The sequence below is a fragment of the Homo sapiens genome, chromosome 2 (assembly GCF_000001405.40).
Source record: "Homo sapiens chromosome 2, GRCh38.p14 Primary Assembly".
NCBI classification, from domain to species: domain Eukaryota; kingdom Metazoa; phylum Chordata; class Mammalia; order Primates; family Hominidae; genus Homo; species Homo sapiens.
In genome coordinates this window covers 218748953-218760086 of record NC_000002.12, presented here as the reverse complement: position 1 = coordinate 218760086, position 11134 = coordinate 218748953, and the positions used below count along the sequence as shown (strand labels likewise).

At 47.0% G+C, this 11134-nt stretch overlaps 1 protein-coding gene across 14 annotated transcripts in view; it reads right to left on the bottom strand.

The window, feature by feature from the left end:
- Positions 1-362: 362 nt before the first annotated feature.
- TTLL4 (tubulin tyrosine ligase like 4) overlaps positions 363-11134 on the bottom strand; it is a 48890-nt gene continuing 38118 nt past the window's right edge. For 5 of the 14 annotated variants that reach the window (XM_047446452.1, NM_014640.5, XM_047446453.1 and 2 more), the window contains 7 exons: positions 10700-10834; positions 9941-10078; positions 8281-8383; positions 7114-7324; positions 6902-6972; positions 6418-6503; positions 4671-5953 (listed from right to left, as the gene is read on the bottom strand). In XM_047446452.1, the coding sequence (XP_047302408.1) occupies positions 5698-5953; positions 6418-6503; positions 6902-6972; positions 7114-7324; positions 8281-8383; positions 9941-10078; positions 10700-10834 (1000 nt within the window). In that variant the 3' untranslated portion in view covers positions 4671-5697. Of the gene's footprint in view, positions 5954-6417; positions 6504-6820; positions 6973-7113; positions 7325-8280; positions 8384-9940; positions 10079-10699; positions 10835-11134 lie in introns of all 14 variants that reach the window. The other 9 variants (XM_047446455.1, XM_006712875.3, XM_047446456.1 and 6 more) reach the window with 3 other exon arrangements.

Genomic DNA, 11134 nt, shown 5'->3' with positions numbered 1-11134 from the left:
TTTCACCGTGTTAGCCAGGATGGTCTTGATCTCCTGACCTCATGATCCGCCCACCTCAGCCTCCCAAAGTGCTGGGATTACAGGCGTGAGCCACCGCGCCCGGCCTTTTTCCATTTTTTTTTTAGAGAATACCGGGGAGTGGAATTTCTGAGTCATAGGTAGATATATGTCAGCTTCTCTAAGAAACTGTTAGTGGTCCACAGGGGTTGAACCATTTTACACTCAACACCAGCCATGTATAAATGCCCCAATTGCTGTACTTCCTCGCTAACACTTGGTCTTGGCTGCCCTTTTAACTATTCCGGTGTTATCTTATTGTGATTTTAATTAGCACATGCCTCATGAAATGTCATCTCCTGGTGTTTTTCTTTTAAATCAGCTTTATTTACTTACATACAATACTACTCACCCATTTTAAGTGCACAATTTGACAAGTTCCCACAACTGTATATAGTCATGTATCCACCACCACAGTCAAGATACAGAATCTTCCCACCATGCCCTCTACAGTCTACCCCTCCCTCATCTATAGTCCCTGGCAAGCACTGTTCTGCTTTCTGTGACTATAGTTTGCATTTTCTAGACCATTATGGAATAACAAAGCATGCAGTCTTTTGTTTCTGGCTTGTTCTCGCTTAGCTTCATCCATGGTGTTGCATGAACCAATTTATTCCTTTTTTATTTCTATTTATTTGTTTTGTAGAAACAGGGTCCCACTGTGTTGGCCCAGGCTGGTCTCGAACTCCTGGGCTCAAGTGATCCTCCTGCCTTGGCCTCCCAAAGTGCTGGGATTACAGGCGTGAGCCACAGCACCTGAACTCTTCCTATTTATTTATTTATTGAGACGGAGTGTTGCTCCTGTTGCCCGGGCTGGAGTGCAATGGGGCGATCTCGGCTCACCGCAACCTTCTGCCTCCTGGGTTCAAGGGATTGTCCTGCCTCAGCCTCCCGAGTAGCTGGGATTACAGGCATGCACCACCATGCCCAGCTAATGTTGTATTTTTAGTAGAGATGGCGTTTCTCCATGTTGGTCAGGCTGGTCTCAAAACTCCCGACCTCAGGTGATCCACCTGCCCTGGCCTCCCAAAGTGCTGGGATTATAGGCGTGAGCCACCACGCCCGGCCCTCTGTTCCTTTTTTATATCTAAGGGTATTCCACTGAACAGAGATATCACAATTTGTTAATTCACTGATTGTTGGACATATGGTTGTTTCTAAATTTTTGCTACTATGAATAAGCTGCTATGAACATTTGCCTGCAAGAGTGGAATTGCTAGGTCATACGTTAAGGACATGTTTCACTTTGTAAGAATCTACCAAGCTGCTTTCCAGTGCATCATTTTGCATTCCCATCAGCACCTTCTCAATATCTCAGTATCATACTGACACTTGGTATTTTCAATCTTTTAAGTTTGAGCCACTTTAGTGTTAAGTGGTATCTTGCAGTTTAAACTGCTCTTCTCTGACTGCTAATGATGGGGGCTTTAATCTTTCTAAGTTAACTATCAATACATCCTCAGCTTTAATTATGGATAAAATCAAAGTATATTTTACCATAGTTTGGTAATATTAACACGCTATTGTAATAGTATTGTAACACTATTGCATGTTATAGTGCTTTTACTTTATATGTTCTGGGTGGTAGTTTTGGTCTGTTTTAGAATCCACTACTTTAAATCTGCATCATATATTATCAGGCACCTTGTTAGGTGCTTTTCCTCCATATTTTAGTCCCATAACTATTCTGAGTAGGCTTTGGTGTCCCCAGTTTACTAACTGAAACTTAAATATCTTTTCAAAATTCTGTTAGCTTTGCCTGTGGCAGTCCCTGGCATTCCATGTATCTCAGTCTATTATAATTATGACACAGATGGGTTTTAGAAAACCACCACCTGCTATTGACCCTTCTTGTGTTTTCACCTGTAAAACATTTGCCGAGAGCAACATATGACTGCTTGCAACTTTCACTGATCCAACGCTGGTGAAGGGGCAAGCCAAATGAGCTGGCATAGATCCCCGGATATTAATGAGCGGGCAAACTCTGCTACAGGGGGAACTCTAAAAGGCCAAGAAGGGTTGTGAAAGGCTTGGTCAGAATCTCAGGTGGCAAGAAATGGAGCTCTCTTAGCCATCTGAAAACCATCAGTGTTTCCAAGTCTCACAGCAGTTGGGGGATTCGAACAACAGTCACAGGTAAGCCTTAATCTTAGAGGACAAATCAAGGGGAGCCCAGGAGAGGAGATCCCTGTCTGCCTTTGTTGGTCACCTATCTTGGGTAACTAATTCAGCTGAGAAGGAAGTAGAAAGGTCTTTGTGTCCAGATGATCAGTCTCCTTCACTGGCCCTCAGCAGCACTGGACTGCCCCAGAAGCCACTGGGTATGTACTTTGGCTAGGGTGACAGGGGGATACTCACCCTCAGCCAAACAGCTTGAAACCAAGAGAAGGTACCTGTAATGACAACTGCCCCTTCGTACAGCTGTTAGGTCCATATATCTGCTCTTTGGGTCCAGTTCCAATCAAGTTCTCTTATTTTCTGTACCCTGCTTCTCCCCTTTCCAGCCACCTGACACCCACTGTGCTTGCTTTCCCCTTCTTTTCAAAGCTTCTCTTGAAATAATTTAATAATCCCACTCAGTTCACATACTTCTAATGCTTAATGTGCTTCCTTTCTCAGGGATTCTGTGCTCTGACTGTGAAGTGTTTAACCAAAGAATAAATCCCCAGAGGAGTGATAATGTAATAGGAGGGTGAATGGTGATGTTTGTGTGTGCACTGGGGTGAAGGTGAGGGCCATGAGCTATCTAGACCCTGTTCTGGCATCTTCACTTCTAAAATATCTCGATGGCAGCTCCACCTCCTGGAGGAGAGGGTTTTACGTTTCTTGCCTGTCTCTTCCCACCTAGGGCACAGGGCTTGGACAGCAAGTGGAGAAGGTGTGACCATGCAAAGTGCCCTCTATGTCCTACGTACTTTCACTACATTTGGTTTAAATCTTCGCAACCCTGCACTGTAGGTATTATATTCATACTACAAAGAAATGGAGACTTAAAAGTTAGATGACATGCCCAAGGTCACACAGTAAGTGGCAGAACTGGGATTTAAACCCAAGGTCAGCCTGATTCAAGGTTCCCGATCCTTTCCTGACACAAGGCCATCTCTTCATTACTATTTCTTCTAAGAAACTGAGTTTCTCATCATTCCAAAGTGGATGCAAAGTAAACAGCAGTGACTGCCCTCCTCCACTTTCCACCCCAAGCCCTTACTCCACTACTCCAGAAATAGCCTGCACTTCATTCCTTGTCTCAAGAACACTCGCCTCCCTTCCTCCAAATAGACTAGGTAAGTTATCAACTTAGGAAAACAACTGACATATTCTGACAAATATTTATTCTACTATACTCCCAATTTAACCTTCCCAAAAAAATCTCATTCCTTCTCAAAAATTCCTGCTTAGCTGAATACCTCATATTGTGGGCATTCAATACAAAAGTATATATGCCAAATGCTTGATAAGATTTAATTTTCTCTCAAGAGTGAGAGGTAAATGTGGTATGTAAGTCCCATTCCTTTCTCCTACCCAGCAAAACACCCATGTCTATCAGATACTCAAATGTGATGAAAATTAAGAATAATGTACAAACTTGTTTTAAACTAAGAGCAGTGTCTTTCCATTGCTCTTTTAGGACCTTCATTGCTCACAAGGACTTAATTTCCTAAGTCCTTCTCCCTTCCCCCACCATGCTTCCCCCAATACCCCCATTCAGCAATGCTGGTTCCCTCTCCAGTTAGGGCAATGGAAATAGATTGGTTGTGTTGTACAGGGATTCTCAGGGGGCAAGCCAAAGAACTGAAGTTCGTTTTCATGGAGTAAACCAGCTCAACCAGGACTCCGTGCCTAGGTCCTTGCCGTGAAGGCCCAGCCACAACAAAACTGCCAGGCAGGCAGCTCATTTTCTCTTAGGAAGGCAGCAGATTCCCCATGTCATGTCTGCACTAGAATACTGCAGCCAGCGGGGAGAAGAGGCGGGTCACTTCAATTACATCAGAAAAGATCCAATAGGAGTGTCAAGGACCTCTCCCATTATGGCCCGACTTTAAAGTCCTTACTATTGAGCAGCCAATGATGCCCAGGACTTTGTCACCAAACTTTCACAACTGTCAACATGGCCTTAGGACCGGCCAAACACCCACCTACTCTGTGGCCTTGAACCCAATCAGGCCTCTCAGTGATCTTTCCAGGGCCCCACCCCACCTCGCCACAGAACTCCAGGAGCCATGAAACACAGAAGTCTCTATCTTTCCAAAGCTCAGAGAGAATGGGGGCAGCTACAGTCCAGGGTGAGACCAAGTAGCTGAGCTTTCTGCCTGATGTGCAAAGAGAAAACTTGAGTAGCAGGGACACGGGGCCAATTGGCTTCTTATATGTGCCACTGCTAGAAAAAACTAAGTAAAGGGACTACAGGGGCTGGGGAGGAGGCAAGCAGCAACCACTAAGTGCAGGGTTAGGAAGGAGCACGGCTTCAGAGAAAACCTTTCTGATCCGAACTCTTCCGCTTGTGCTGTTCCCAGGTTCCACTTTCTCATACCTAGATGAGAGACAATTAGAACTTCTGGTTCAAGTGCTGGGGTCCTTTGAGATCTCTGTAAATACAGTTCACTCAGTCAACATTTATTGAATAGTCACTGTTTACTGAGTCTAGAGGAGGGAGGTAGAATCAGTTCAGTACAAGAGTTTAGTCTGAGGTTTGATTGGAAGCCCATCCTACAATAGTGACTGCTCCTGAAACCCACCTACCAAGCCGCCAGACCCTGCTTGCTGCACAGCAGAACATTGAGAAACCATGTTTGTTGCACTATAGAGAAACCACATCTCCTTCCACCCTCCCCCTGGACTGTGTCCTTTGATACATGGAGACAGGTAACAGCTACTGGGATTATCTGGGCTCCTTCACTGGGGCCATGGGAAATTCACAAAGTTCATAGACCCTCTCACACCTCAGAGAAAGCCAACAGCTAAAGAACAGATGTCCACGAGAGAGACATCTAGAAGGCTGAACGAGCAGTGATGGGGGGTCAGAACAGGAAGACCTAGGGCTGCTGGCAGGGTGGGTATTTGGAAGGAGGCGGTGAAGACCCAAGACTAGGATGACAGGAAATGGGTTCGGCATGTTGTGGCCTCTCCGCCTGTCTACTGAGGAAGTTCAAGGGTTTCTCCTCAGGACAGCGGTGGGAGAGGGGTGAGGAAAGACCTAAGGAAGTAAGGACCTCAGAAGACCCCCTCAAATTCAGAACAAAGGATTTCCGGTCCAAATATGTTCTGTATGTTTTCTCCTCTTGAGCTACAACTCAGCAACCACACCAGGGCCCCCAGACAAACCACACATGGCTCACTTAAGGTAGAAACCAAAACCTGCTTTATAAGGCTGCGTGGCCACCACTGGCTTCTCTGCTGAGATATGAGGTGCCAGCCAGGCAGACAGGTGACAGAGGGTGACCCTTCCTCACCTTCTCCCCATCACTACCATCCCTCCGGCCCTACAAATACCCATCTCTATAATGCAACCACTTCAAAAAATACTCTGAGGAGGGACAGGGTGAAAGGGGTAGGGGGTCAGACTGGTCTGAACAGCAGGCTGGTTCCCGTGAGGTAGCTGATGCCCATGCTCCTGGGCAGAGGCTTTTGGAGAGAGGCCAGTTATGGGCTCACAGCCAGGAGGGAGTCACTGATTGACTGGAAAGTGGAGGAAGCAGAAAGTCTTGAAGTCTGCCCAGAGCACTTGATCACAGGTAACGTCTGGGTAGAAAGGCTGGGCTCTTTGCTGGTGTCCTCACTGTCCTTTGAGGAACTGGGTTTCTGGGGATAAGGGGAAAGGCCAGCTTGAGTCTTCTTGGATTTGGGCGTGGTCCCGTCTTCAGAGAGTAGTAGGCTAACCTCACAGGAGCTTTGTTTTCTGGAGGGAATAGGTGGTGAAAGAAATGACTGAGACACTGTTTAACTGAGACTTTACCTTAGGATTTGCCTTCAGTCTGGAGCAGGCATTCACGACATTACAGTGTTGTAGGCCAAAATTACATGGAAATGTAATAACCATAAAAAAAATTCTATTTACTTGAAGGCTTGAGACCTGCAGTGCAAGAGTGAATGGGGGTGCGGGTAGAGGGCTAACAATTTCCCACAGCTAGTGGGTATGGCTGACAGTGGCTGCTTCAGGAAGCACTTCTGTCCTCCAGCTCAGCTTCCCTGGGCATACCAAGATCTACCAGAAAAAGGATGCTATGGCTGCATGTCCTGACGCTCCCACCAACCCCCAGCTGGAGAATGCTGATCTCACTGCCACAGTCTGGGAAGAGGGGAAGGAAGAAAACTCTACAAACTCACAGCCAGCAGCCCCTCCCTTGCCCAGGCAGCACTCACCCCAGCTTGCTAGTCTCTGATTTGCTGAAGGCATTGAGTATCACGTCATCCTTTGAGATAGTCAGAAGTGATGTCGGGAGAGACCACTAAGAGCAAAGGAAGCAATGAGACCAAAAGGCTTGGCGGAGGCAAGGCAGGAGTGTTTGGGGTCTTGGTACCCTCCAGCTCTACCTCTAAATGGATCATGGGGTTCTCCCCTTCCCTACCCCTCAGGCATGGGCCCAGGTGGGTAAAAGTCTCAGTTCTCTTCTGAATCAAACAAGAAGTTGAGGCCTACAAAGCACTTTTTGATCCTTGAAAGAAAGGTACCCAGGGAATCCTGGAGGCAACTATTCCCTTGAAAGGAAAGAATGGTGAGACAGAAGCAGAGCCTAGCGGAGAAGTGAGAGAGGCCTATACATACCAACCCAACTCCTGCTGCACTCATAAGGCAGAGGAGGGAGGGGCCTGAGAAGGAGCTGTCCTCCACACTGGCAGCACTCACCACTGGAGCAGAATCAGAGACAACTCCCATGTGGAACCCTTTGTAGCACCAACTCCGGAGCAGATCTACTCCTAGGACAAGATTAGCAGGAGTTGGGGTTTAAGAAGGTAGAATCAATTGGCCAATTCTTTCCAGAGAGGCCCATTTCTTGGTATACTGGGATTTAATCTCTCACTAAACTTGGCTTTCTGAGGGCAGGGAGGGCACATCACCTTTAAGCTTGTTGCCATGGTATTTCTGTTCCCATTGGGTGGTGAGAATGTTGAAATATCGTGGCTGCTCAAAAAAGCGGAGATAGCGAGAGGAGATATGAGAAGGAAAAATTCGTTCAAACTGACCACGGCGAGAAAACTCATCTTCCATCTCAACCAGAATCCGAACATCATCTGGTGTCAGGACATCCAGCACAGATGCATAGAAGTCCTGTGGTCCAAGGAACAGGGAGAAAAAGGGTGTGAGAGAGTGTAAGCCAGGGGCAGAGACTCAAGAAGCTGGGGAACAGGGAGCACACCCCTGGGGTCCTACAGCTCCGGGACTCTCATGGAACTACTGAGGGCAGCCTAGTGGGCCAGCTCTGAAAGACATCTGTTCCTAAGTCTACTGAACTTAGCTAGTGGGGGAAGGCACTCTTGTTTGGGGTCAGGGGAGCCACTGGGGCTGAGAGGTTAAGTAGTTTGTTGGGTAAAGTCAAGATGAGGATCCAGCAATTCAGATTTGGCACCAGTCTTGTATCTGCCATGCTTAAATCCAGCTTCCTTATCTGCTCTGAGAAAGTCAGCTTCCTGGGGTCTCTCACTGTGCCTCTCAGAGAAAGAAACCCAAAGGGTAAAAGTCTATAGTTTGGACAAGAGGGGGCCAGAAAACATGGTAAAGACAATTAACACTCTCCCAGAATGACAGACATGCCAACAAATCTCTGTGCATCAGAGGATCACAGGCCTGGATTAAGAAACCGTGCTCTTAAGAAAAGCTGGTTGCAGCCAGGCGTGGTGGCTCACGCCTGTAATCCCAGCACTTCGGGAGGCCGAGGCAGGCGGATCACTTGAGGTTGGGAGGTTGAGACCAGCCTGACCAACATGGAGAAACCCCATCTCTACTAAAAAATATAAAATTAGCTGGGTATGGTGGTGCATGCCTCTAATCCCAGCTACTCGGGAGGCTGAGGCAGGAGAATCACTTGAACCTGGGAGGCGGAGGTTGCAGTGAGCTGAGATCGCACCATTGCACTCCAGCCTGGGCAACAAGAGTGAAACTCTATCTCAAAAAAAAAAAAAAGAAAAAGAAAAGAAAAAAAAAAAGAAAAGCTGTTTGCTTTTGGGTCCCAAATGTTTGACCAGGGAAGTTTTCTGCTAGCACTGGGGGGAAGACCAATCTCCTACCTGATCAGGAATTTTCTGGGTCAGATAATAGGCTTTCTTCATCTTCTGTGCAGTGACATGCTCTGGAGCCATTCGACATTTGTCCCCAGGGGAGGTGGGCAGGCTACGGCAGAGGCCAGAAAGAAAGCAAAGGGCAGGGTCAGCAGCTTCTTATTTGGAGGAAATATGGAGGAGGTCCAGCCCAGCAGACACCCTTCTTGAGAGAAGACAAAGATGTATGAACAGAGGTTACTTGAGTAGTAGGTTGGACTAAAATGCACTCCCCAGAAGTAACCTGAGAGTCATCAAATATTAAGTAAAAGGATACAAACCACCAGCTTTAGGTTGAATTTGAATGATAAAAAATAAGGACCTTGCAATAAGCCTTATTGTGGTATATACTTCAGTTCAGTTTAATTCAGTGAACACTTAACTATATACTCAACTCTGCCCTACTGGCTGTGTGACCCTGGGCAACTGACTTAACCTCCCTTCACCTCAGTTTCATCACCCACATTACTACAATTACCATAATCACTGTTGAGAGAGATAGTGAGACTCTGTCTCTAAAAAAAAATAATAATTTTAAAAAGATGACTAAAAAGCAACTCTTGCCCCCAAGGAGCTTGTGGGATATGTCCAATGACAACCACTGGACAGAGCCAAACATGAGTCTACAGGGTAAAGCGGGGAAAGTAAGTTTTGTTATCAGGCAAATCAGGATTTGAATTCCAGTCCTACCACTCTCTAGTTGAATAACTTTGATGGGCTACTTAATCCCAAAGAGCTTCAGTTTTCTCCTCTGTAAACCACAGGTACAAATACTAACCTTACAGGGTTATTGGAAGGGTAAGTTATAGGGTTTTTTTCCTCACACATCTCAGGTACTAAGTAAATATAAACTCCCTCCTCTCTAGAGTGGTTCCCAATGCTTTGTGGTATGAAAAAAGAAAAAAAAAATGGCCATACTGAGTTGGCCTCATGAAGGTGTATGAGCTAGGCTTTGATGAACAGCAGAGGTTAACAGCGGGTCTGGCTATGGGGCATTTCAGGAGGGAGAAACTCCATAAGCAGAGGAAAGAACACTATGGGGAACAGCAAGAGGCAATAAACATTTCAGAGAGGAGACTGGACCAACTGGTCCTTAAGGATCATTCTGACCTTGAGGTTGTGTGAGCGATCCAGTTTGTCAGGGCACAGGAGCCAGGAGAGGAAGAAGAAAGAGAGATACACCAAGAAAAAGGAAGCTGGGACCCTGACTGCCCAGGTAAGAATTTTTTTTTTTTAGAAACAACATCTTGCTATATTGCCCAGGCTAAAGAGAGTACAGTGGCTATTCACAGGCATGATCATCATAGTGCACTAGAGCTGTGAACTTCTAGCCTTAAAAGATCCCCCTGCTTCAGTCTCCCAAGTAGCTGGGACTAGAGACACACACCAGTGTGCCTAAGATGTTTAAATCTGATTCCTAGGCCTGTGGTTCCTAAGCAGGGGATCAACATAACTGAACATACTTGAGAGTCACTGATGTGGCATGGTAGCATGTTAGTGGACTGTAGGGGCAAGATTGAGCAGCAAGGGGAACCTGGCAGAAGGGAGCACCCAGAACCCATTCCTTCCCAGAAACTATAGCAGGGCTACTCATGCTGCCAGCAGAGCTGTGAAGAAATAGGGGCCTCACCTGGTGGTGGAGCTGCTGCAGCTGCTGGGGCTGGAAATGATATCCTCTGCATTGGGCAGGACAAAACCTGCCAGATTCAGAAGGTCACGAATCATCTGGCCTTTGATGCTGATATCCAGTGGAGAGCTGGAGTGGAGGCTTCAGAAAAAGGATAAAAAGAGTGGTCAAAGCAGCACTCCGAAACAGTCTCTGGTCATATGTGCAACTCAGGGCTAGTCTCATTTACTTCCTGGCTTCCCTAAGATGAAAGCTGCTCAAACATCCCCATGCAGGATCACCATCACAAGACTCTCTTGCCCCAAAGACGGTGAATAACCTGCCCATGACCTTGATCTGCTAAAGGAAAGCAAGCAGTAAGGATCCACTTAAAAAGAACAACTGGCTGGGCGTGGTGGCTCACATCTGTAATCCCAGCACTTTGGGAGGCCGAGGTGGGCAGATCACGAGGTCAGGAGATCGAGACCGTCCTGGCTAATACAGTGAAACCCTGTCTCTACTAAAAATACAAAAAATTAGCTGGGTGTGGTGGTGCATGCCTGTAGTCCCAGCTACTTGGGAGGCTGAGGCAGGAGAACTGCTTGAATCCGGAGGCGGAGGTTGCAGTAAGCCAAGATTGCGCCACTGCACTCCAGCCTGGGAGACAGAGCGAGACTCCATCTCAAAGAAAAAAAAAAAAAAAGAACAACTTACTGGAGTGGCAATGGGAGCGTGAGAATAATGGAAGGATTCTATGGTGAGTGTCCTGAGAATACCACCTACCTTGGGGAAATGTTGACTTCCAGGACCCAGGGCTTGAGGTTTTCGTCTAGCATGATGTCAAAACCAAAGAGTTCATGGCAGCTATAGGGCCGTCGCACATACATCTTGAGCAGGCTGGTCACATAGGGCTCTGACCTGGTCATGGGGATGAGGAAGTACTCAGTTCAGCTCCTCCCAGAGGGCTCTACTCAGAGCTATCCTGCCAAAAGAGTGGCCCAGAGATAGGCAGGCAGAAGCAACCCAGGAAAGGTAGCTCTCAAGTGACACCTCTGATCTGGGACCAGCTCCTGGGGATGAGGTTCATTAGAACTTAACTCTGGCCACTCCTTCCTATTCTCTGTCCTTAAAACCAAACCACAGCATGGCCAAAGTCCAGAGCACAGCAGTGTGAGGCCCAGGAGAAAGGAGGGGGTCAGCAGCAGGCCCCACATCCAG